Raw genomic sequence first — 27,770 nt, 5'->3', positions numbered from 1 at the left:
ACTTTGAGCAAACTATCTTGTAATGGCTTTCTCATATGTCACCTTGTCTAGGCTGAATTGCATTTCCCAGAATTTTTTCTCTTGTTTGTTTTGAGTTGAGGTAAGACATAGGGAAGATTCTTGAGACATTTAGAGGCTGAAAGAGAAGCAGTGGCCATTTTGTGGCTCACACATATTGTTGCTGATCTGTAGATTCACCCTACTGGTGTGAAGCAGCATCTGATTCTGTGGCTGCTCTACCTGCCGCTGATATTCTTTCAGCTTCTCAGACTCCTAGACCAGGGGTGTGTGTTTCACTTTGTGACAAAGGGCCCCACTTCTGCTGGATACCCTCATTACCAAGGTTAGAGGCAACAAGAATGAACACAGGTTTTAGTCCTTCTCCACGGAGTTCCAGCTTAAGCTTGTTGGTTCCAGCCTGCTTGTGTTTTTCCTTTTCTGACTGCCATCCCTGTGATCTTGAAGCCTCAGCATCATGTGTGAGAAAACAGCCATACAGAGACTGCTTAGCCAGCTCCTACAATTGCATAAGGCCAATTCCGTATAACCAATTTCTCTCTCAGATAGAGGAAGAGATACATATAGCTATAAATAAAAATATAGATAATATAGAGATACCAGTAGTTCTCAGCTGGAGGCAATTTTCACCCTCAGGGAACATTTGGCAGTGTCTGCATACGTTTTTGGTTGTTACAACTTGGTGGAGGGTAGAGAGTTGTGCTACTGGCATATAGTGAGTAGAGGCCATAGATAAACCCACAATTCACAGGACTGTCCCCCACCCTCACACCCCAACAAAGAATTATCCAGCCCAAAAGTCAATAATGCCACTCTGCAGAATATCTGATATAAATATAGAGATCTAGATAGATACTAGTTTTTGCTTCTCTGATTAAATGCTAACTGATACAGATTTTAATACCAAGAGTGGTTCCAGGGGGATAGAATCTTAAGTATGAATTCTCTGACTTGGTTTTGAGTCTTCTCTAATATGATTAAATTTAAAAGCACTAATGAGTCTACTTCTAGCAGTAAGAAGGGCACTGGTAGTCAATGGCATGATGTGGCAATAGAGATACACAAAATATCCCCACTGGTTACTGTTAGGGTCCACCCAACTGGACTGTTTCCCCCTCCCATAGATCTAAGCCCCAAAGGCCAAAAGCAAAACACCCTACCCCAAACCCTCCTGTAACTGTTTGACCAGAGGCCAGCTGCTCCAGGATGTGGTTAAGACATCTACCTTGCACAACAGAACTGGCAAGAAAAACATCTCCAGGAAGTGGTCAGACACCTGGCACAAAGGACCCCCCCCCCGCCCCGTCTCTTTTCTTTTTCCTTCACCTTGACCCAGTTCTACACCCTATAAAACCTTGCTATAGCCTGTAAGTGGGGCTGCCTCCTCTGCTTTTGTCAAGAGGTGGCCTGGCAGGACTGACAATAAATCAGCTTGCCTGAACTTGGGTCTATTGGCCTCATTCCTTTCTCGGCCATCCTTCCAATTATCCCTTACAGTTACTCCTAATCAAACACTTACAGAAGACAAGGTTCTGGGTGACCATGTATTTGATGCCTTAGCACATTTTAGTCAAACCAAGGAGTACAATGAGGTTGGCTGTTTGCTCCTAACTGCGTGGGAGAAAGTAGGGAAAGGATAGGCTCGGGAATTTGAATTATCAGCTCAAAGTCCACATAAAGAAACTGAAAGCTTCTGTTTGCCCTGAAAGAAATTCTTATCTTCCTTCCATAGCCACAGGGCCCTGAAAACCAAAATTCAGAGTCTCCGCCCTGCCAGTGGCTGAATGATGCAAAGTGATTTCTCAGCCTTGTAGCCTCTGTATGAATATAAAGCTGGAATGGGATCCTATGGGCAGATTCTCACAAAGCTGGGGACTCTAACCCCTGAGTTCTGCTGAGCCTTTTTTGCCAGTAGAAGCAGCCTTTCTACTCCTGTCTTGAGAAGATTGGCCCTCCTTTGCCTGCCTTTCCTGAGGTAGTTGACTGGTAAGGCACTGCTGATCCTCTTTAAGACCTACCCCCACCACCTCTCTTTGCTTCTAAACCTATAACTTACCTGAAGTCCCAGCGGGCTCAGAGGGGTAAAGTACAAAGTGTAACCCATGAGGAGCTGCTATGCATACCAAAAGCATTGTACAGTTTTATCACTTTATATAGTCAGAAACCTGGGGGATATGCATAGGAATCAATTTTAAAGATATGGAGTCAAAGTGAAAGGAAAATGAAGTTGGATTGGGCAGAATTAGTTGATATGGGCCTGTATTCATCAGCTTGGCGTGCCATAACAAAATACCATGGGCAGGGTGGCTTAAATAACAAAAAAATTATTTTCTTACAATTTTGGAGGATTGAAGTTCAAGATCAAGGTGCCAACAGGCTTAGTTTCTGTGGAGGGCACTTTCCAGCTTGCAGATGGCTACCTTCTTACTGTACCTTCACATGGTCTTTCCTCTGGGCATTCACGTGGAGAGAGAGAGAGACAGCGCTGATGTCTCTTCCTTTTCTTATAAGGACATCAGCCCTATGGAATTAAGGCCTCACCCTTATGACCTCATTTTACTTAATTATCCCCATCTCCAAATATAGTCACATTGGGGGTTAGGGTTTCAACATACACATTTTGGGGAGGAGGCAACAATGCAGTCCATAACAGGGCCAACTAAGCAAATATTCTAGATTCAGTGTTTCAGGTTGAGGGGCTTGACAGTTTACTTGGTTGGTTGGCTGAAACATGGACCCAAAAGTGACCTACAATAAATGAAATCAAAATATGCCAGAACTTTTGGGGTATACTGTAGAGGAAGATATCTAAAGGCTTAGAAACATTTGAATGTTGGAGTGTCTTTATCATATAAGACCTACTCATTCACCTTGAGAGGGCTCTCAGAACACACCCTTTACCCTGGCTATGAGAAATAAATCTGTAAGGGGAGCTCCAGCATCCTTGATGAGCTTTGTGCTGACTATTCATTATAGACCAGAAATTATCATGGGAACTGCTACCATAAACTAGGATCCCTAAATGTAATAACAATGATAGACTCTTGAGACGACAAAGGCCAAGTGGCAGTGGCAGCACTTAATTGCCTTTGTAAATTGAATTGTGTTCCCTCAAAAAGATATGTTGAAGTCCTAGCCCCCAGTATTTGTGAATGTGACCTTATTTGAAAATAGGATCTGTGTAGATATAATTAAATTAAGATGAGGTTGTAATGGATTAAAGTGGTCTTTAATCTAATGACTGGTGTCCTCATAAGAGGGAAATTTAGACATAGAGATGCACAGGAAGAATGCTGTGTCATGACGAAGGCAGAGGTTGGAGCAAAGCAGTTGCAAGCCAAGGAATGCCAAGGATTGCCAGCACTCATCAGAAGCTAGAAGAGAGGTATGGAATAGATTCCCTTTCAGAGCCTCAGAAAGAACCAACCTTGCTAACACCTTGATTTCAGCCTTCTAGCCTCCATAATGTGGGAGAATAAATTTCTATAGTTTTAAGCCACCCAGTTTGTGGTACTTTATTATGGCAAACCTAAGAAACTAATACAAATTGCCTAAGACAAGATTAGTATAGTTACCATAATTGCCAGCAGAGTCAAAGCAGTGATTAGAAGAGTCTGGCTCCCAGAAATCTTTAGTGTTGGCTGGTTGATCACAGTGCCTCTAAAAAAAAAATAGATGGACAGTTTACTAAATTCTTACTTGATCTATATAAGCAGAACAGATCTAGCCTTAGTGAACGGAAGCCTTACTTGAATCCCTAAAATATGATAACCCTTGAGTCAATTCCCAGATTTGAGCCAGTTCACCAACCTAAAATTGATTGAACAAAGGGGAGATCGGGCCCACTTGAGGAAAGAGCCTAATACACTGCCACAAATTTATTCTATTAGTCTTCCTACTAGCCTTCCCCAGAGTTACTTGCAGACTTTTACTATTTACCTAGGTGATTATACATTTGGGAAGGGGAAATAATCAGTCTTTGGGGGAATTACTAGATGCTGGCTCTGAATTGACACTAATTCCTGAAGACCCAAAATGTCACTGATGTCCACACACTTAGAGTACGCACTTATGGAGGTAAAAGGTCAGGTGATGGAATTTCAGCTCAGTTCTATCCCAAAGTGGTCCCAGTGGGTATCCATACCCATCAAGGGTCTATTTCTCCATTTAAAATATATATACCTGGAATAGACATGCTCAGTAACTGGCACAATAACCACATTGGTTCTGTGACATATATAGAGAAGGCTATTATGGAAGAAAAGGCCAAATGAAAGCCACTAGAACTGCTTCTAACTATGAAAATAATAAATAAAAACCAGTACCACATTTTGGAGGCATTACAGGAATTCATACGACCCTGAGGCCTTAAGTGTGGATGGCACTTCTGAGTTGCTTCTAGTCAATAGCATATGGAATAGGAAATGAGATTTCACTAACCTAATTTGGTTATAGTATATAGCAAAGGTGCTGGCTGTCACTCTCATTATCAGGTTACATTATGTAAGACTCTATCTTAGCTGTTTGGAGACAGATACTCTCATGCAGGCCTTTAAGAAGCAACCTGCCATGTTGTGAACTGCCAGCAGAGAAGGTCACATGGCAGGAAAGAGCAGGTGGCCTCTAGGACTTGAAGATGACCTCTAGCCAGCAGAAATCTGGATCCCTCAATCATATAGCCTTAAGGAAATGAATTCTGCCAGATTCTTTAAGTTAAGCCTCCAGATGAGAATGTAGCCTCTATAACATCTTGATCACATATTTGTGAGTTCCTTAACAGAGCACCCAGGCAAGCTGGGCCCAGACCCCTGACCCACAGCAACTATGAGATAATAAATGTGTTTTGTTTTAAGCCACAATAGGAAGATAATATACATACTTCAAGGCCTTTGAAAATCCAAACTGCCTTCTGAGAGGCCAGGAAGCTGAGCAAAATACTGTGTCTGAGAAGCAAAGAAGACAAGCAGATGGTGGTGCTTAAGAAGCTGAAAAGATGAGGAAGGCTTCTGGAAGTTCCATAGGCTTGGGGGAAGGACTAAACTTCAGAGCCTGTGAAAAAGGAGGGAGCTTGCTAAACATCATAGCCTTTAAGTTGGGATCCCCAAAGACCTCTAATTTAAAAATAATGCTGAATGGCAAATACTCTAGCCTTCATTCAAATGACTAAAATCCAGCTTTAAAATAGCTCAATACCTGATTGGTAAAGGTGATATACCTTTACCATAACTACCTAGCAAAAACAAAGTTAAATCCTCACTGAAGGAAGAAAACATAGTCCAGAGCTTCAAATTGTCTTTATAGTTTTTTATACACAATGATCAGATACAATAAAAAATTGGTGTGCAGATAAGAGAAAAACGAAACAGCAGAAATAGTCCTCCAGGAGATCAGATATTAAAATTACCAAGCACTACTTTAAAATAACTGTTCTTATGTTCAGAGATTCCACTAGAGAATTAGAAATTATAATTAAGAAAGAAGCCAATGGAAATTTTTTAATAGAAAAATTATAATAACTAAAATTAAGAACACATTAAGTACATTTAAAAGATTAGATATAGCTAATGAAAGAATTATAAAACTGGAATATAGTTCAGAATAACATGCTCAGAAGTGAGACATAAAGAGATAAAAGGATAGAAAATACAAAACAATAGTATGGGCCGGGTGCGGTGGCTCACGCCTGTAATCCCAGCACTTTGGGAGGCCGAGGTGGGCAGATCACGAGGTCAGGAGATCGAGACCATCCTGGCTAACACGGGGAAACCCCGTCTCTACTAAAAATACAAAAAAAAAAATTAGCCAGCTTGGTGGCGGGCGCCTGTAGTCCCAGCTACTTGGGAGGCTGAGGCAGGAGAATGGCGTGAACCCGGGAGGCAGAGCTTGCAGTGAGCCGAGATCGCGCCACTGCACTCCAGCTTGGGTGTCAGAGTGAGACTCCGTCTCAAAAAAACAAAACAAAACAAAACAAAATAGTACGAAGTATATATAGTGTACATGGTACACAGTGAAAACATCTAGCATATACAAAATCTGAGTCCCAGAAAAAGAGGAAATAGAAACACATTTAAAGAGGTAAAAACTGATAATTTTGCAAAACTGATGAAACATACCAACCCACAGACTTGATAAGTACTAGAAACCACAAGTAAGACGCATGTAAAGAAAATTACATGCAGATGCATCAAACTACTGAAAATCAAAAACAAAAATAAAATCTTGACAGCAATCGGAGGGAAGATATATTTATCTTCAAAGGAGAAATCCTATAACATCTAACAAACTTCTCAACAGAAATGATGGAGGCCAGAAAGCAATGGAATGGAATCTTCAAAATGCTGAAATAACTGCCAACCTAGAATTCTCTACCCACCAAAAACATTCTTCAAAAGCAAAGCAAGGCTGGGCATGGTGATTAACAACTATAATCCCAGCACTTTGGGAGGCTGACGTAGGATTGCTTGAGACCAGGAGGTCAAGACCAGCCTGGGCATCATAGTGAGATGCTGTTTCTACAAACAAACAAACAAAAAAAAAGAAAAGAAAACAAAGAAAGAAAAATAAAAAAAGTTATCTGGGTGTGATGGTGCATGCTTGTACTCCCAGATATTTGGAAGGCTGAGGTAGAATGATCACTTGAACCCCGGAGTTCAAGGCTGCAGTGAGCTGTGATAACATCACTGCACTCCAGGCTGGATGACAGAGTGACACTCTGCCTCTACAAAATTAAAAATAAAAAAAGCAAAAATGATTTGAGAGAAACAAAAACTAAGAAAATTAATCACCAGCATAACAACATAGTGAGAATTACCAAAAGGATTTCTTCATGTAACAGGAAAATGATCCCAGATAGAAACGCAGAGAAGTCAGAAGGAATGAAAAGTTTTCTAAGAAAAAAAAAAAAGGAGGTAAACATGTAAATAATTTTAAATAAATATAGGCTGCATAAAGCTGTAATGATAATGTCCAAGACTGTTTTTATACATTTAGAAGTAAAATACATTTCAATATAACACAAAAGAAAAGAAGGAGTGTTTTGGTTAGCATCCATAAGCTATGCTACAGTAACAATTACCCAAATCTCAATACATTATCACAACAATTATTGTTTTCTCACATTTTATGTTGACCACAGTAGCTCTGAGTTGGCTTTAGTTCTTCACCATATATTGTCTTCATTGCAAAAACCAGCCAGTAGAAGTAACCACTATTTGAGATATTCTATTCTCATAGCAGAACAAAAAGAGAAATGGAAGAATTATCCAATACCGCTAAAGTTTCTTCTTAAACATCACATATAGCCACTTCTATTTACATTCTTTTGACCAATGTTAGTCATGTAGCCAAAGACTTATACAATCTTTTACCAGAATACAGAAATAAAAATGTATTTTTTACATTTTTATTTATGTTGAATCTGAAAAAAGAAACAATACAATCTACCACAAAGAATAAATGAAATTTATGTGTTCAAAGGTCCTTGAATTTTCTGGGATGTAGGAAAACATCTAATTTATATTACAACTAATGAATAAAGAATCCATGTTTTAATCTGTAGGATAATCTTGAAAAGAAGAGTAAAAATGTCTAAGTAATAAGCTAACAAATGGGGAATAGAATAATAAGCTAATAGAGGGGAAAGAAAATAATAGAGGATAAATAGAACAATAAAAGAATATTTAATCAATGCAAAGAAAGCAAGAAAGGAGAGAAAAAACATGAAGTATATGAAACATGTAGAAAAGCAAGTATGATGGCAGATTTAAATACAAATATGTAAGTAATCACATTAAATGTTAATGGTTTGAATATTCCAGCAATTACCAGACTGGACAAAAAACAGAACTCAAATATATTCTGTTTGTAAGATACACACTTTAGATATACGTATGCAAAAATGTTTAAAGAGCACAGAAATAGTGATACAACAACTTACCACAAGAAATCTGGTGTAGCTGGACTAATATCAGACAAAGTAAACTTTAGGGCAAAACCATTCCTAGAAAGAGAGATATTTTGTAATGATGTAAGTGTTAATCCATCAAAAAGACATGACAATTCTGGACTTGTACATGTCTAATAACATACTCCTCAAGTCTACAAAGCAAAAAGTGACAGAATAAATGGAAGCAATAGACAAATTCAAAAGAATTTTGGTAAATTTTAATTCACCATTTTCGTTACTGCAAAGCCAAGCTAATGAATCACATTATTTACGTCTTCTATGGTCTTGCCAAAATATTTTTTGCGTTTTTTGTTTTGTTTTGTTTTGTTTTTTTGTTGCTGTTTTTTTGAGGCAGGGTCTCGCTCTGTTGCCCAGACTGGAGTACAGTGGCACAATCACAGCTCACTGCAGCCTCGACTTCCCTGACTCAAGTGATCCTCCTGCCTCAGCTTCCTGAGGGGCTGCGGGTATAGGTGTACACCACCATGCCTGGTTGATTTTTTATTTTTTGTAGAGACAGGGCCTCATTTTGTTGCCTAGGTTGGTATTAAACTTCTGGCCTCAAGCTATCCTCCTGCCTCAGCCACCCAAAGTGCTAGAATTACAGGCATGAGCCACCCCTCCTGGCTTACTTTTTCGATCAGTTAATTTGAGTTCAAAATATTACAATTAGTTTTACCTCATTGAAGTATGGCATTTATTTTAGTCAATATATTTGTATAATTCTGTATAGTTGATGTAATATGAATGAGGACAAGTAAACCAAGACTTACTAATATTAATACTAATGTAATTTTCTCTATTTTTTCTTGCATTTCTTACAGTTTCTGTTTTATGAATGATAACACAATGATATCTGGTATACAAACATTCACAAGTGTCACATCTCCATTATCAATTGAACATGCATCAATTAGAAATTATGTTAGATCATGAGTAACAGAGAGTCTTACTAATAGTAAGAAAGATAAAAAATTTATTCTTAGGAAGGCCAGCACTAGTAAGGGTGCTCTTTAAATTCATCAACAGCTGGTCCAATTTCAAAACAAAGATAAAGAATCAATGAAAAACGATTTGACCAATGAGTAGAAATTACAAAATCAAGAAAGGAAAAACATAATTCAAAAGCAAATGAATAGCATGTATTATAACAAGGATGACTTAAAAGCTAAGAGGTGAAAAGAAATTTGTCTATAATTTCAAAAAGCATACAGGTATCACAGTCTTGTTTAAAAAAGATGTGAAGCAGAAGATGAAGAAAAGTCATCAATGAAGAGAAATATGAGAAATAAAAATAAATTAGAAATTAAATATTTACAAAAATAAGTGTCACATTGGATGCAATCATAAACAGAATAAACAGTATTTGATGCCACAATCAGTGACATGGAAGTGAAACTTCAAAAAAATTACACAAAATGAGAATTAAAATGAATGAGATATAAAATTATAAAAAGATCATTAGATATGGAATTCAGATGAAAGAAAAGAACAGAAAAGATGGAAAAATGCATTCAAAGATTTAATAGAAGAAAGTGTTTTTGAAATAAAAGTCTTGTTTGACTCTGAAGAGCAAATTAGGCTGTTTCCTAGGGAAAGTAACTGGTAAAGTTACTGATATTTGAAGATTAAGAAAAAAGTATCCTAAGGAAATCTTGGAGAAAAAGCAATTAACATACAAAAGGGAGCATAATTATGCTACTCTGAGATTTCTCTACAGGATACTACTTACCAAGATAATTGGAAGAATTCAATGAAATAATGTAATTATGCTAGTCCTTGGATTGCCATCAGGACATTCATAAACTTACTGAAACGATATTCAAAATATTGTTTGTGCACACATGTAAACTTTGCTGGGATAAAACCAATGTTTTTTTTTTTTTTTAACTTGATTTACAAAGAGATGACAAATAAATTAAGAACCACTGCCCTAGAGCATGTCTCCCCAGTGGTGGACGTCATGTTTCCAGGAGTGTTTTGTGTCCTTGAGTTTATTACAAGATTCTTTTTAAGAGTATGAATTTTCATTCCAATTATATTTAAAATTAATAAGAGTAGCATGTTCTCTATCATATGGATGGCCATCTAATTTTTATTTTTACTTTTTTTGACAGAGGACCTACAGGGAACTTTATATTCTTTCTTCCCTCTTCACCCGGGTACTGCCCCTTGCGAAGTCCAAGTGGGCTCCTGGCACAGGGATCCTCCATCTTCTCTGGCACCCGTGGCATTGCCAGCAGGCCAAAAGGGGCAGCTGGCATTGTTGGCTTCAGTCTGACCCAGGGTACCCAGCTGTGGTCCCCTCAGCCCACAGTAGGGGCAAGGGCTGCTTCTCCACAGTTCATAATGAAGGCTTTCAGCAATGCCCAGCTGCCTCTTCTCCAAAAGTCTGGCTTTTGAACACTCTTCTCCTTCCTGGGGAGGGTTTTTGCCCCTCTGAGGTTGGACAGGAACCAGAAGAACAGTTTATCTGCTTCATCTGTCTGTGACCTGGGGCTTACCCAGCCCCTAATCCTTCTGGCAAGCACTGTGCTTGAGCACTGTCCACACAGTGGAAACCACAGGAAACGACTTTGGCTTGTGGAGGGGGAAGAACGCGAAATGAAAACAAAAGCACACAGGAGCACATAGAAAAGCCCCATCCACTGCCCATCTCTCTCCCTGGGGGCCCCAAACAACCACTAAAATAAGACCCAAACTAAAGGCCTGCCATGCAACCCCAAAATCAATTAACCTCTCCTGAAACATGCAAAGAAACTGCCCACCTAGAAATATCCAAAATAGTCTGTGCCAATTATGAAGAGATCAACAGCTTCACCCACCCTCTCTGGAACCTCTAGTACTGACTGTGTCATCCGTGGGGTGCCCCAAGGAGGGTGGACTCTTTTCTCAAGGCCAGGACAGTGACAGTTACAAAAGGTGGTCCTTGCTTGCAGCTGAGAACTGCTTTTTCTTCAACTAACAGACAGTGACAGTGGCCTGGGCCAGAGGTATGCTTGAACTCATGAGACACCACGAAGCCCAAGAACCAGTGGTGCCTTTTAATGCACCCACCTTTGGCAGGTGGTGACAATCTCCAGGAAACCAGCACAATTCACAAATACAGATTAGGACAATGCAAGGGCTATTTCTGGTGGCAAAACACCAGCAAATAAAACTGGGCCAAGCAGGGGCAGGACACTGGAGGTGCCCTATGACCATGTCTTTTCCAGATTTGCAGCAAAGGCACCATTGGGGTTTCCCATATGACCTGTCCCATATGGCATGTGGAGTCACATGGTGAAGTCACCAAGGTGCACATGTGGGTCTCAGCTTTCTCAGCTCTGGTACCCAGACCCTGTACTCCCTGGCCCATTCTCTTCCGTACTCAATGTGGATTACCCATCCTCTACCTTGCAGCTGGGGCACAGCCTGGAGGGGAGACATCTTGGAGGTCACATATTCTACAGGATTTAATGTTGTCCATCCCCCACCTCTCCCATTTTTTTCCTTCTCCTTTTGTCTTTGTCTCATTGCTAGATGACCATCTTATGATTGAGCATTACTTTATTTTAATGTGCATGTTTACCCTTGTGTTTAGGTGACCACGTTGCACAAAAGGATCATGAAGCACCAGCATTTACATTTTAATATGCTGGTAAGCACATTGCTTTGCTCTTGTTAGCCCCCTCTAATGCCACAAATGAAAACTTTTAGCACCTGCTATTGGGCAAACATTGACTTCCTTAAACAGTTATGAGGGAAAAAAAACCTAGACTTTTGCTTTTAAAAAGCACTGAACTATGACATTATTGAATTTTGACTTAAATTACTTACATAAGAGTTGGATGTCCTATCCTGAAAACTACTATGTTTTGTAGGAATGTTCTACTTCAATTATTTTGGGTTAATGGAAAAATACAGAGGCAGAATTAATATATGATAAAAGGTCTTAAAATTATTTAAACAGAGAAAACAGTGAGATAATCAAATCATCATATGGTACACTATCATATTTGTATACGTAATATCAATGGTGAGCACTAGTATAGCTTCAGCAAAAACTTATTTTCTATATAAAATTAATATGGTTTATTTAAATTTTATTAGTTGTGTGATGTGATAAATTCAACTTTTAATTTAGATTGTATAGTTGTAAAAGGGATGATAGCACAGGCAGTTCACCCCTAGGTTTACATATATATATTTACAGGCCATTATAATTTCAAACAGAGTTTCTGTCCTCACTGTGTATCAATAAAAACAAAACAAAATAAAACAAAACAAAAACAAACAAACAAAAAATACAAATCTTCTTTTATAAGTATTTTAAAAATCCCACCCATAGCATAATTTATCCAAACTGGCTTTGCTGTAGGCAGTGTGCTGTCATTCTCTAGCTAAGTGACTCCACTAATCTGTCTCAAAGCATGGGACAGGAAGAGTTATGCCTCAGCAAAACATGCCCCAGTTTGTCAGGATTATTCTGAAATAAGGCCATTATTTATTTGTTGGTCAAAACTCAAAACAAACAAATTCCCTAATTCCACGTTTACTTAGTAGTTAACAAATGCATGAAAAGTTACAAGACTATGAATGCATGAAAGGATATGTGGAATCATTGCTTCTCTGAACCATCTGGTTGTATTGGAAAGAGAGGAAGGAAAAGCAATTTATCGACCAGTTCCTTTCTTCCTTCAGTCTCCTTGATCAAAATCCACCCCATGGGGCACTAACACCCCATCTGACCCCGCTAAACAGTCACTGGAAAAGGCAGAGCCTCTGTGGGTCCAGGTAATCAGACCTAGACCTTTAGAACCACTGTGGCTCCTTTTGGGGTAAACATGATGTTGGCCATGCTGCAGCCCAGCCCTTGCCTCCAAAGGAAAAGGAAGAGGAAGATTATATGGAGCCTGTGCTGAAACAGATCTATACGTCCAATATCTGGGTACCGTAGAACACAGAGTTCAGAGAAAGAAAGAAGCTACTTTATCTAATGGGAGGGAAAGAAAGCAAAAAAGATGGTCAGAAATGAGGTAAGTAGAGCTAAGTGCCAATTTACCCATTTGTAATAAAAAATATAAATTCTACTTGAATCCATTGACCAGGAAATTCTCAGCATACAACATGAAAAACCAAATTAAATCAGAAGGTTGCATTTTGAGCATGAGATGACAGCAGGGAGAGTTATTTGTACATGTTCACACCTGAAGGACGTTAGGATCTGACCTCCAATAATTGAGACCTATTCTTGGGGCAAGGTATCTGCTTTAGCATCTCTGAATCTTCTTTTTTTGTGATTTACCGGGTGATATAATTTGGATTTGTGACCCCACCCAAATCTCATGTTGAATTGTAATCCTCAGTGTTGGAGAAGGGGCCTGGTGGGAGGTGACTGGATCATGGGGGCAGATTTCCCCCTTGCTGTTCTCTTGATAATGATTGAGTTCTCATGAGATCTAGCTGTTTAAAAGTGTGTAGCACCTCCCCCTTCTCTCTCTTTCTTCTGCTCCAACCATGTAGGATGTTCCTGCTTCCCCTTCACCTTCTTCCATGATTGAAAGTTTCCTGAGGCTTCCCCTGCTTTGATTCCTGTATAGACTGTGGAACTGTGAGCCAACTAAACCTCTTTCTTTCTTTCTTTTTTTTTAAAATAGTCATAGCACACTGATGAAAACTTCTTTTCTTTATAAATTACTCAGTATAAGGTAGTTCTTTATAGCAATGAGAGAATGAAGTAATACACCAGGTCTCACCCCCTGGTCTTGGGATTTGCTTTGACCAATAGAATGCCACTAAAGTGATGTTATGTTAGTTACAAGGCTAGACGTCAAGAGGACTTGTGTGCTTGTGCTTAACTTCTTGGATCATTCCTTAGCAGCCTGTTGCAGTATAAGAGCCCACACAGAGGAGGAATGAGCTGTCTAATATGAGGTCATCTGAAAAAAGCCATCCACCAGGCAACCCAGCAGCTGATCACAAATGCATGAATGACCCCAGCAGAGGCCAGAATAATTGCTCAGATGAACATAATCTAAGGTGCCAATCCCCTGAATTGCTTGCTCATTAAATTGTTGTTGTCTGAAATCACCAAGCTTTGGGGTAGTTTGCTATACAGCAAAGGCTAACTGATATGTTTAGTATCTGAAGAGTAGGTGATTTTTCCTTCTTTCAGTTGATAATCACATTTCAGGTTTATGATTTTAATTAAAATGCGGGCTTCCCTAAAAAATAAATAGAAAATAAGTTGAAGTATGTATTTTTGAAGGGAAGACCAGCCACCAGGAATTTCAATGGGTATTTTAATATGTTCCATGAATGCAGATAAATTTTTGCCTCCCCTATTGTCCTTTTACTTTATAGCAGAGAAGAGTTATTTAATATACAGAGAAATCTTTGTTTTATTAGAATTCCAAAAAATTGTACTTCCTGCAAAATATGCATTCCTTTTCTCTTCCTTCAACACCTAAACAAGTGTTTTGAAAAGACACAAAAAATGAATTATTGACACATTTCATGAATAAAATGCCAATCACTAATCTTAATCTCCTGACCATACAAGCCAGGAGACTTGGAAATTCTTCATTCTCATTTAAGTTGGACTTCTCATCTGAAAAGTCTACTTGAACTGAGAATCCCAGGGATGAAATAGCTAGGCCAAACTTGCTTTACTTATAACTAATGCATTGATTGTAATTAGCATATTATACTGTTGCAGTGGAATTTTAGTTCAGAACTGCCAACAGAGTTCAACTATCCCAGAAATAAATGAGATGTTTTCTCCATAAACTGCCTGTTAACTACCCTTTAAGGAAGCTGTGATAAAAAAGGACAGCTGTCTTAGACTCCAGCTCTGGAAACTCTATGTAGTATCCTGGCAACAAGGAAAGAGAATATCTGATTTGTGGAGTCAACCTATGTTGCTTAATAGTGGAGCTCTGAGAATTAATGTTTGTAAAGATTCACAGTTTCATAAAAGTGCATGGCGTATATAATGATTATGATTAGTTTTGAGAGAAGAATATTATCCACACCCCTTAGAAATAGGACCAAAAATAGCTCTATTTCCAGTCCTAAGAAGAAAAAAGAATCCACATATAATGAGAAAAAAGGCATGTGGTACTTGACATAAATACACTTATTTATTGCCCTTTTCTTATTTGTCTTCTGGGTCAACTCTAAGCCATGAGAATAATAACATGCCGACATGAACAAATAGGAAGGGTTAATGTCAGCCCATATAATTTTCTTTATTAAATTGGTACCAAGCATTCCAGTTAAAAGCACATGTTCTCACAACTGGAGAGAGTTCAATTGTGCACCTTGAGATCAGTCTATTATACACCAACTACAGTGAAAATAAAGGAATGGCTATTCTCTAGATAGAAAAAATCAATTAACTGAGCAGCCTGCAATTCTTAGCCATTACGAATCTTTCCACATAGCCTCAGCAGGTTCTTTTAGAAATGTGTACTTTCACCAACAGTTATCTCAACCTCCCCAGCAAATGACATCAAATAGTGCAGTGAAAAAAATCAAGAAAGTAAAGATTTCTCTATACTCCAATGGTTATTGACATTTTTCTGGAAGACAAAAAGTAATCCTTTAGAAACAAACAGATCTTTTTCTAATAAGTGGCTATTACCATCAAATAAAGCTATTTTCTGGAGTGTACATGACCTTAAAAAATAGCTATTTTGAAAGCGTGTGTGTGTATGTGTGTGTGTGTGTCTGTGTGTGTGTGTGTCTGTGTAGAAAGAGAGACAGAGAGATCTTGCTTTTTTCTAAAGAGAGCTAAGTAAATATTTTATAATATGTTAGTGGTAAATAGAGGCATTTAAACCTTGAACATGATTTCATCCAAATAATTTTGCACACTAAAAAGTACATTGCTTTTCAGATTAGATCTGGTAAGTTATTATGATATTGTAATCTTTTGCTAGGTCCCTCAAAATCAGAGTAGCTTCATCCTTGTAAAAGGGCAAAAACAGAAATGTAAAGGTAAAGAAGAGTTTATGGAGCAATTTAAATAGTGACCTATTAAATAATGGTACATTAAAATTTTCAACTGGTAATCTTATGAGACTGGGTCTACCCAGTTCATGGGGAGTGTAATTATTTAACAATAGAAATCTTTGATATTCATTCAAAAAATAATAGTGAATGACTACTATGTACCAAGCACTTTTCTAGGCACTGAACATATTGTGGGGGACATGATTCAGCTCCTGTCTTTCTAGAGGTTACATTCTAGAAAAGAGAAACAGGCAAAAAATAAGTCAATAAGTAAATAAACAAAATAAATTACAACAGAGATGAAGAAAATAAAACAGTAATGTGATGGTGACTGAAGCAGGCAAGGGGTGAGGGTTGGCTACTTTATATTGCATGTAAGACAAAGCAGTGCTGAGAAGGTGAAATTTGTTTTGAGGCCTGAGTGATGAGAAAGAACCATCCATTTGAAACTCTAGAGCTGAGAGTTCTAGGGAGAGGGAATAACAAATGCAAAAGTCCAAACTTTGGAACAAATTTAGGATGATCAAAGATCGAAGGGTTTGTATGGCTAGAAGGTTTTGTGTGACTAGAGTTTGGTGAGCTAGAACCAGTTCTTGTTGGGTCATAAATATTATGAACAAACAATTGGGATTTTATTTTAAATACATTGGAAAATCATAGAAGGGGTTCAGCTGGAGATGAATACAATATGATTTATGTTTTTTACAAAAAGCAATCTGATAGTTGTATCAGGAGCAGGAATGGAAGGAGTAAGTCCAGCTGGGAGGTTGTTATAATAGAACAGAGGACAAAACATGGTGACTTGTTCTATGGTAGTATCTGTGAAGGGTGTCTGTACTGGAAATGGAAAAAAAAAAGTGGATAGATTCAGGTTATGTTGTAGGAGTAGATTTTTAAAAAAAATTTTTAACTTTATTTTAGTGGGTACATAATAGATGTATATATTTGTGGGCTATATGAGATATTTTGATACAGGCACACCATGTGTAAAAATCACATTAGGGTAAATGGGGTTTTCATCACCTCAAGCACTTATCCTTTCTTTGTGTTACCAACAATCGAATTATACTCTTTTAGTTATTTTTAAATGTACAATAAACTATTGTTGGCTGGAGTCACTCTGTTGTTCTGTCAAGTATTAAATCTTATTCATTCTATCTAATTATATTCTTCTACCTATTAACCATTCCCACATCTCCACAACCCACTCTGCTAACATTTCCAGCCTCTGGTAATCATCCTTCTACTCTCTATGTCCATGATTTCAATTGCTTTGATTTTTAGATCCTGCAAATAAGGGAGAACATGTGATGTTTGTCTTTGTGTGCTTGGCTTATTAGCGTAATGACCTCCAGTTCTATTCATGTTGCTGCAAATGAAAGGATCTCATTCTTTATGGCTGAATAGTAGTACTCCATTGTATATATGTACCACATTTTCTTCAGGCATTCATCTTTTGATGGACACTTAGGTTGCTTCCAAGTCTTGGCTATAGTGACTAGTGCTGCAATAAACATGAGAGTGCAGGTATCTCTTTGATATACTGATTTCTTTTTGGGGTATATACCTAGCAATGGGATTCCTGAATCACATGGTAGCTCTGTTACTAGTTTTTTGCGGAACCTTAAAACTGTTCTCCATAGTGGTTATACTAATTTAACATTCCTACCAGCAGTGCTTAAGGGTTCCCTTTTCTCCACATTCTCATCAGCATTTGTTATTGTTTGTCTTTTGGAAAAAAGCAGTTTTAACTGGGATGAAATATCTCATTGTGGTTTTGAGTTACATTTCTCTGAATATCAGTGATGTTGAGCACCTTTCCATATACCTGTTTGCCATTTGTATGTCTTCTTTTGAGAAATGTCAATTCAAATCTTTTGCCCATTTTTTAATTGGATCATTAGATATTTTCCTACAGAGCTGTTTGAGCTCCTCATATATTCTGGTTACTTAATCTCTTGTCAGATGGGTAGTTTGCAAATATTTTCTCCCATTCTGTGGGTTTTCCCTTCACTTTGTTGATTATTTCTTTCACTGTCTAGAAGCTTTTTAACTTGATATGATCTCATTTGTCCATTTTTGCTTTGGTTGCCTGTGCTTGTGGGGTATTACTCAAGAAATCTTTGCCCAGTTCAATGAGTGGGATAGTTTCCCCAATGTTTTTTTTTTTTTTTATAGTAGTGTTATATTCTGAGGACTTAGATTTAAATATTTAATCAATCTTGGTTTGATTTTTATATATGGCAAGAGATAGGGTCTAATTTCATTCTTCTGCATATGGATATGGAGTTTTCCCAGCACCATTTACTGAAGAGACTGTCCTTTCCCCAGTGTATGTTCTTGGCAACTTTATTGAAAACAGGTTCACTATAGATGTATGGATTTGTTTCTGGGTTCTCTATTCTGTTCTATTGGTCTGTCTATGTCTGTTGTAATGCCAATATCATGCTGTTTTGGTTACTATAGCTGTGTAGTATAATGTGAAGTAAGGTAACATGATTCCTTCAGTTTTGTTCTTTTTGCTTAAATAGCTTTGAATATTCTGGATCTTTTCTGGTTCCATATAAACTTGGATTGTTTTTCGCTATTTCTGTGAAGGATGTCACTGGTATTCTGATAGAGATTGCATTAAATCTGTAGATTGCTTTGGGCATTAGGGACATTTTAACAATATTGATTCTTCCAATCTAAGAACACGGGATATCTTTCCATTTGTGTGCGTGTGTTCTCTTCAATTTTTTTCATCAATGTTTTACAGTTTTCATTAGAGCAATCTTTCACTTATTTGGTTAATTCCTAGGTATTTTATTTTATTTGTAGCTAGGTAAATGGGGTATTTTCTTGATTTTTTTTCAGATTGTTCATTGTTGTCATATAGAAATGCCACTGATTTTTGTATGTTGATTGTGTATCCTGCAACTTTACTGAATTTATCAGTCCTGATATTTTTTTTGTGTGGAGTCTTTAGGTTTTTCCAGATATAAGGTCATATCATCTGCAAACAAGGATAATTTGACTTCTTGGCTTCCAATTTGGATGTCCTTTATTTTGTTCTTTTCTGATTGCTCTAGCTAGGACTTTCAGTACTATCTTGAATAACAGTGGTAAAAGTGGGCATACTTGTTGTGTTCCAGATCTTACGGGAAAGGCTTTCAGTGTTTCCCCACTCAGTATGATATTAGCTCTGGAACTGTCATATATGGCTTTTATTGTGTTGATGTATTTTCCTTCTACACTGCGTTTTTTGGGAGTTTTTTTTATTATTATGAAGGGATGTTGCATTTTATCAAATGCTTTTTCAGCATCAAATTGAAATGATCCTATAATTTTTGTCCTTTATTCTGTTGATGTGATGCATCACATTAATTGATTTGCATATGCTGAATAATCCTTGTATCCCAGGGATAAATCCCACTTGGTCATGATGAATGATTTTTTAAAAGTGTTGTTGAACTGAGTTTGCTAGTATTTTGTTGAGAATTTTCACATCAATATTCATCAGGGATATTGGCCTGTAGTTTCCTGTTTCTGATGTGCCTTTGTCTGGCTTTGATATCAGGGTAATACTGGCTTTATAGAATGGATTCGGAGTATCCCCTACTACTCTGTTTTTCAGAATAGTTTGAGTAGGATTGGTATTAGTTCCTCTTTAAATGTTTGGTAGAATTCAGCAGTGATGTCATCAGGTCCCAGGCTTTTCTTTACTGCAAGATTTTTTATCATGGCTCTTGTTACTTGTTATTGGTCTGTTCAGGTTTTGGAGTTCTTCATGGTTCAATCTTGGTAGGTTGTATGTGTCTAGCAATTTATGCATTTCTTTTAGCTTTTCCAATTTATTCTATTATTAGAAGCTCATGGTAGCTTCTAATAATTATTTGCATTTATACTGTATTGGTTGTAATGTCTCCTTTTTCACCTCTGGTTTTATTTATTTGGGTCTTTTTCTTGTTAGTTAATCTGGATAAAGATTTGCCAACTTTTTTATCTTTTCAAAAAACAACTTTTTCGTTGATCTTTTTATAGTTTTTTGTTTCAATTTCGTTTATTTCTGCTCTGATTTTTATTATTTCTTTTCTACCAATTTTTTTTTGTTTTGTTTTGCTTGTTTTTCTAGTTCTTTAAGATGTACTGTTAGGTTTCTTATTTGAGGTTTTTCTTCTTTTTTGATGTAGGCACTTATAGCTATAAGCTTCCCTCTAAGTACCGCTTTGGCTGTATTTCATAGGTTTTGGTATATCATGTTTCTGTTGTCATTCATTTCAAGAAATTTTTCAATGTCTCTCTTAATTTCTTCATCGAACCACTGATCATTCAGGAGCATATTTTTAAAATTTCCATGTGCTTGTATCATCTCCAAAATTTCTCGTTTTTGATTTCTAGTTTTATTCCATTGTGATCACAGAAGATGCTTGATATTATTTCAATTTTTTGAAGGTTTTGAGACTTGTTTTGTGGTATAACATATGGTCTTCCTTTGTCAATGATCCATGTGCTGAGGAAAAGAATGTGTATTCTGCAGCCATTGGATGAAATGTTCTGTAAATATCTATTAGGTCAATTTGGTCTTTAATGTAGATTAAGTCAGATATTCCCTTGTTAATTTTCTGTCTGGATGACCTTTCCAATCCTGAAAATAGGGTACTGAAGTCTCCAGCTATTATTGTATTGGGGTCTATCTCTCTCTTTAGCTCTAATATTTGTTTTATATATTTGGGTGCTCCAGTGTTGGATGTATATATGTTTACAATTACTATATCCTCTTGCTGAATTGACCCCTTTATCATTATATAATGTCCTTCTTTGTCTCTTTGTATAGTTTTTCTGTTGAAATATATTTTGTCTAAGTAGAGCTACTCCTGCTCTCTTTTTGGTTTCCATTTGCATGAGCTGTCTTCTTCCATCCCTTTATTTTCTATGTGTGTCTTTACAGATGGATTGTATTTCTTGTAGGCAACATATCTTCGGGTCTTTTTTTAAAAAAATTCATTTAGGTACTCTATGTATTTTGATTGGAGAGTTTAGTCCATGGATATTCAGTGTTATTACTGATGAGTAAGGACTTATTCCTGCCATTTTGTTATTTGCTTTCTGGCTGTTTTGTGGTATTCTCTTCCTTCTTTGCTTCCTTCCTATCTTTCTTGTAGTGAAGATGATTTTCTCTGGTGGTATGTTTTACTTTCCTGATTTTTAGTTTTTGTGTATCTGTTGTATTTTTTTTTATTTGAGGTTACCATGAGGCTTGCAAATAATATCTTATAACCCATTATTTTGAACTGATGACAACAGAAGACTGATTTTGTAAACAACCAAAGTAATAGAGAAAACTGACGAAAACTCTACACTTTAATTTTATGCCCCTGCTTTTAAACTTTTGTTGTTTCGATTTGTATTTTATTGTACTGTCTATGTCTTGAAAAGTTGTAGTTATTATTTTTATTAGTTCATCATTTAGTCTTTCTACTCAAAATACGAGTTTATATACCACAATTATAGTGTTATAATATACTCTATTTTTCTTTGTATTTACTATTACCAGTGAGTTTTCTGCCTTCAGATGATTTCTTATCTCTCCTTAATGTCCTATTCTTTCACATTCAAGAACTACCTTTAGCATTTCTTGTAGTATAGTTCTGGTGTTGATGAAATTCCTCAGCTTTTGTTTGTCTGAGAAAGTCTCTCTTCCTCCTTCATGTTTGAAGGGTATTTTCACTGGATTCTAGGATAAAAGTTTTTTGCTTGTTTGTTTGTTTGTTTCCCTTCAGAATTTCAAATATGCCATGTCACTCTCTCCTGGCCTGTAAAGTATTTATTGAGAAGTTTGCTGCCAGACGTTTTGGAGCTCCATTGTGTGTCATTTGTTTCTTTTCTCTTGCTTTCTTAGAATCCTTTATTTTTGACCTTTAGGAGTTTAGTTATTAAATGTCTTGAGGTAGTATTCTTTTGGTTAAATCTGCTTGGTATTCTAAAACCTTCTTGAACTTGAATATTAATATCTCTCTCTAGGTTTGGAAAGTTCTCTGTTATTATCCCTTCAAATAAACTTTCTACCCTGGTCTTCCTTTCTACCTACCTCCCCTTTAAGACCAATAACTCTTATATTTGCCCTTTCAAGTCTATTTTCTAGATCTTGTAGATGTGCTTCATTCTTTTTTATTCTTTTTTTGTTTTTTCTTCTCCGAGTGTATATTTTCAAATAGCTTGTCTTCAAGGTCATTAATTCTTTCCTCTGCTTGATCAATTCCACTGTTAAGAGATTCTGATGCATTCTTCAGTATATCAATTACATTTTTCAACTCTGCAGTATCTATGTCAATTGCATTTTTCAACTCTGTGATATCTGTTTGAGTCTTTTTAATTATGTCAATCTCTTTGTTAAATTTATTTCATAGGATTCTGAATTCCTTCTCTGTGTTATCTTGAATATTGTTGAGTTTCTTCAAACCAGCTATTTTGAATTCTTTGTCTGAAAAGTCACATATCTGTCTCTCTATGATTGATCCCTGGTCCCTTATATAGTTTATTTTTTCGGTCATGTTTCCCGGATGGTCTTGATGCTTGTGTATGTTCATTGGTGTCTCAGCATTGAAGAGTGAGATATTTATTTTAGTCTTTGCAGTCGGGACTTGCTTTTACCCATCCTTCTTGGGAAGGTTTTCCAGGTATTCGAAGGGACTTAGGTGTTGTGATCTAACTTACTGGTTGCTGTAGCCATATCTGCATTAGGGGGCATCCCAAGTCCAGTAACGCTGTGGCTCTTGCAGACTGGTAGAGATACTGCCTTGGTGGTCTTGAATAAGATCTGGAAGGATTCTCTGTTTCACCATGGAGAGATTCTCGTTGTCTTCCCTTACTTTTTCTCTTCCCTTACTTTCTCCCAAATCTCTCTCTCTCCATGATGAGTTGCCTGGAGCTGGGGGAGGGGTGACACAAGGACCCCTGTGGCCACCACCAGTGGGACTGTGCTGGGTGAGTCCTGAAGCCAGCACAGCACTGGGTCTCACCCAAGGCCCATGGTAACCACTGCCTGGCTATTGCCAATGTTCACTGAAGGCCCTAGGGCCCTATAATCAACAGGTGGAAAAGCTGTCCAAGCTTGTGTCCTTCTCTTCAGGGTGGTGAGTTCCTCACAGTCTCAGTTGGATCCAGAGATGCCACCAAGGAGCCAGGGCCTGGGGTTGGAAACGTTAGGAATCTACCTGGTGCTCTGTTCTACTGTATCTGAGCTGGCACCCAAGCCACAAGACAAAATCCTTCCCACTCTTCCCTTCCCTTCCACAAATAGAGGAATTTCTCCCTATGGCCACGGTTACCTCAGGCCCAGATTGTACACTGTCTGCTACTGCTGATGTTCATTCAAGGCACAAGGGCTCTTCAGTCAGCTTGTGCTGACTGCTGCCTGGTCTGGGACTCTACTTTCAGAGCAGTGGGCTCCCCTCTGGCCAAGGGCAGGTTCAGATGCTATACAAGAGCCAAGGCCTGGAATCAGGGGCCCCAGGAGGCTGCTTGTTGCTCTACCCCACTGTGGCTGAGCTGGTACCTAAGCTACAAGACAAAATCCCCTTACTCTTCTATCTCCTTTTCTCAAGCAGAAGGAGTCCCTCTCCATTGCCACCACAACTAGAAATGTGCTGGGTCACACTTAAAGCCAACACATCTCTGAGTCTCACCCAAGGTCCACAGCGAGTATTCCCTGGGTGCCACTGCTGCTGATTATTCAGGGCCCAAGGGCTCTTCAGTCAGCAAACAATTAATTCTTTCAGGACTGAGCCCTTCCCTTCAAGGCAGCAGGTTCCCTTCTGGCCCACAGTGCATCTAGAAATGTCTTCAGGGTGCCAGGGCCTGAAATGGGGGTCTTGGGACTCTGCCTGGTGCCCTATCCTACTGTGGCTGATCTGGTATCCAAGTTGCAAGAATAAGTCCCCTCTACTCTTTCCTCTCCTCTCTTCAAATGGAGGGAAGGAGTCTCTCCCAGAGCTGTGAGCCGCACTGCCTGGGGTTGGGGGAGGGGTAGCTCAAGCACTCCCCTGGCCACCCCGGTTGGTGTCTCACTGGGTGGTGTGCCCCACAAGTCCACTGGCTCTGAGCCCAGCATAACACCAGCATTTGTATAGAAATTGCAACTCTTGTGGTTTAGACTGCATTTCAAGTTTATTTAGAACCTCAGAGCACTTTAACCTGGAGCAGCAAGGCTTGCCAGAACTCAGGTTCCAACTGCTGGGATGGGCAATTCCTCTCTGGCTAGGGCTTGTCTAAACATGCCCTCTATGAGCACTGGATGAGTTTTTCCCAGATTGCTTTCCACTGTGACAGGGCAGCACTGAGTTCCAATGAAAAGTCCCACGATCACTGTGCTCTCCCTCCCCCCAGTACACAGATTTTCTCTTCATGCCACACAGCTACTGCCAGGGTATGGGGGAGGGTTGGCGTTGGCAATTCAAGACTGCCTTTCTTACCCTCTTCAGTGACTTTCAGTGATAGGAAGTTAAAACCAGGTACTGTGATCACTCACCTGATTTTTGGTTCTTATGAAGGTGCTTTTTTGTGTGCATAGTTGTTCAAGTTGGTGTTCCTGTGGGGAGGATGATCAGTAGGGTTTCTCTTCAGCCATCTTGCTCCACTTTCCTCCAGAGTAGATATGACACGGTGGTTAAGGAGAAAGGAGTGTCAAGGATGACTCTTCAATTTTGATTTGTATAGTCCCATACATGAGGAGACAAATGAAAGAGGATTAAATTTGGGGTATAGAGTTTGGAGATTATCAGTGCTGTGTTGAACTTGTTGAATTTGAGATACCTTTGAGCCATTGAAATGAAGAAGTTGAGCAGAGAGTTGGATATGGAGGCCTAGGACTCAAAAAGCAAATCCGGGCAAGAAGCCCTAGTAAGATCAGCTTTATCCCTTGGCCAGAACACTATCACTCTCAACCAGATTCAAGACAGGTTAACAAGCTTAACAAGCACCTGTTTCTAGTGGACTCCTCCTCCACTATAAAATAGGCCCACGGGGCTCAGAGTGCTCCAGGAAAGACAATATTTACAACACAACTCAACATTGTGAAGGCCATTGATATCAACTGTCACTCTCAATAGAACTGATGCCTCATCTTCTTCTAAGAGACCATATTAAGACTAATTCTTTTTCCTCCCTATTCCATCAACCTCCCTCCCATGTGTGTTTTCATCAGTTACTACCAGAAGTCCAAATCTCCCAGGTCATCCATCATCATCTAGACTTTCTCTCCATCCACCTCCATGCAGGTGCAAGTCTGATATCATCTCTCACATTTCCCTGATCCTCAGTTCCACATCCTCTGAAATTCAAAGGCCTGCCATCAGCACAATCCCCTGTTTCCTTTACTTTATCTCTTAATGTTCCCTTCACCTTCTTGTTTTAATTATAATCTGGCTGTTTCCTAAGGACAATAATGGTTTTTTTCTGCATCCCTCTTATATGCTACTTATAGGACCTCAAGGTAAGGTAGGTGTCCTTGCAACTTCCAGATCATTTTACCTTCATTCTCCACCAAAAGCCACAGGTCTTTGAATTGCATTGCTCCAGACATCACAATTCCTAGTTTATTATTTTAGCAGTCATTGTATACTACACTCCTAGTTACTCAGCCTCATTCATATTGGAAAATATCCTTAATCTGAACTCAAACATCATGACCACAGTCATCTATGTTTCTAGCTCATAATTCTATTACCCTCATTTCAACTATTCTTAAATCCTATCAGAATTCCTAACCACTGTCTAAGTGGGCCTTCATCACTGTTGCCTAGCAAATGTGACTTCTCTCGCTGGTAAAGTTGCTGTGCTACTTGTTGAAAAGTCTATTTCCTGTCTTCTTTTCTCTTTTCCAATCCTTCATCATATTCATACTCTATTTTACTGTCATCAAATCTACAACCTCTTCTACCAGAACTGATATTCTCTCTATGCCACCTGTAAAAAGTAAGGAATAATAATAATGACTAAACTTACACTGTAAACCTCCTCCTCTGTACCACCTGATATTTTTGCTCTGGAAATTATCCCCTCTTTAGAAGATCACCCCCATTATCACAGCTTTTTCTTTCTGTCTTCATTTTGTTCTTTATAAAGAAGCTGCGGTGATTTTTTTTAAAAAAACTATAAATCAGTTTACTTCACTCCCCTGTTCAAAATTGTCTAGTGGTTTCCTATCACATTTAGATAACAATCGAAATTATGACCGTGACCCAAAAAAGTCTGCCTATCTTTCTGACCCCATTTTTTACCCCTCCCCACTTTGCCCAGTCTACTCCCATCTTCTTGCAATCAGTTGAACATGAACAATTCAAATTCATTCTTGTCTCAGGGCCTTTCTATTTGTTGTACTTTCTTTCTGGAATGCTAGTCCTCTATATACTCTCATTCTTACTTCTTCTCTTCAATTAGATCTCTGTTCAAATATCACCTTCTCAGACAGACATTCTCTGAACATCCTATTTAAAAGAGCCACCACCCACCTGTCCTACATCACGTTACTTTCTATTCCATTACCTTGCTTGACAGTATTCATAAAACTTTCACTAGCAGGAACTATTTTATTTGTTTGTTTGCTTTTTTCCTGGTTTTGTCTATCTCTTCCCTAGAATATCATCCCCACTGGGGCTGAAACTTTATATTTTGTTCACACTTGCATTCTAAGAGTCTCAGTGGTATCAGCATGTAGGCACTCATAAACATATTAGTTTGTGAATAAATACATTAATGAAAGAGTCAATAAATAAATGAATGAATGCAGTTGTAAAAGTCCACTGAGGAATAGATTTTTGGAGAAAGACAATAATTTTAATGGTGGACTAGTTGTGTTTGAGATGCTGCTGAAGTATCCAGGTAAGGATGTCTAGAAGGTAATTGTCAATCCTGGAATTTGGAAGAATTTTCACAGTGAGAAATAAAAAATTGAAAAAGACAGTTTTATTCGTTTCCTATTGCTGCTGTAACAAATCACCACAAACTTAGTGTTCCAAATAACACAAATTTATCATCTGGGAGTGTGGCAAGTCAGAAGTCCTAAAGTCAAGGTATAGGTAGGGCTGAATTCCCTTTGGAGTCTCTAGGGGAAAATCTATTTCTTTGCCTTTTCCACCTTCTAGAGATTGTCCAGTTTCCTTGGCTATGGCCCCTTCCACCAACTTCAAAGCAAGCAATCTAATCTCTCTCTCCTCTCTCACCTCTGCTTCAATATTATATCTCCTGCTATGACTCTAACCCTCTTGCTTCTCTTTAATAAAGATCCTTGTGATTACATTTGACCCATCTGGATAATACAGGAATATCTCCCCATCTCAAGATCCTTAACATAATCACATCTGCAATCTCCCTTTTACCATGCAAAATTTGCAGATCCCAGGGATTAGGACATATGAACCTCTGTGGGATGGTCAATATCCTGTCTACCATGGAAGTTAATGAAATAAGCTCATGGGTTATCTACAAGAGGCTGAAGAGCTTGATATTGAGTGGTCTTCAGGTGGGTGAATAAAGGACCAAAATATTTGAATGCTGTGGAAGCAAAGGAAATAGAGATTTTCAGAAGAAAAGATTGGTAGTCCAAATGGTCAAATGCTGGAGAAGCACTGACAAAGAAAAAAAGAAAAAATAAGTTTCAGGGTCTGGTAATTAGGGTATCATGGGTGGTTTTCCAAGAAACAATTTCTGTCAAGTTTTGGTGAGGGGAAGCCAGATTTTAAGTAACTAATAAATAAATGAGCATTTAAAAAATAGTTATTAAGCCTCTTCTTATTAAGAAAAATGATTTGGTGACAGCTATTGTGGTAAG

At 38.2% G+C, this 27,770-nt stretch overlaps 1 long non-coding RNA gene across 1 annotated transcript, besides 2 other annotated features; it reads right to left on the bottom strand.

Annotated features, from left to right (window-relative positions):
- Positions 1–24,678, bottom strand: LOC105373188 (uncharacterized). The gene is made up of 5 exons (XR_949037.3): positions 24,471–24,678; positions 7,955–8,017; positions 7,136–7,239; positions 3,594–3,678; positions 1–517 (listed from the first exon to the last, which is right to left on the bottom strand). It is a non-coding gene; the product is annotated as an uncharacterized LOC105373188 (long non-coding RNA).
- Positions 490–549: a silencer, noted in NCBI's record as "silent region_20781". NCBI's record gives its function as "represses an Ori minimal core promoter by ATAC-STARR-seq in GM12878 lymphoblastoid cells {active_cell/tissue: GM12878}" and the evidence as "EXISTENCE:reporter gene assay evidence [ECO:0000049][PMID:35858748]".
- Positions 22,631–23,569: an enhancer, noted in NCBI's record as "H3K27ac hESC enhancer chrX:42780737-42781675 (GRCh37/hg19 assembly coordinates)". NCBI's record gives its function as "activates a minimal SCP1, AML or CMV promoter by ChIP-STARR-seq in naive H9 embryonic stem cells {active_cell/tissue: H9 hESC(naive)}" and the evidence as "EXISTENCE:reporter gene assay evidence [ECO:0000049][PMID:30033119]".
- Positions 24,679–27,770: the final 3,092 nt, after the last annotated feature.

Source organism: Homo sapiens, chromosome X, assembly GCF_000001405.40.
Source record: "Homo sapiens chromosome X, GRCh38.p14 Primary Assembly".
NCBI classification, from domain to species: domain Eukaryota; kingdom Metazoa; phylum Chordata; class Mammalia; order Primates; family Hominidae; genus Homo; species Homo sapiens.
The sequence above is the reverse complement of the archived record's forward strand: the minus strand, read 5'-3'. Positions and strand labels throughout refer to the sequence as shown.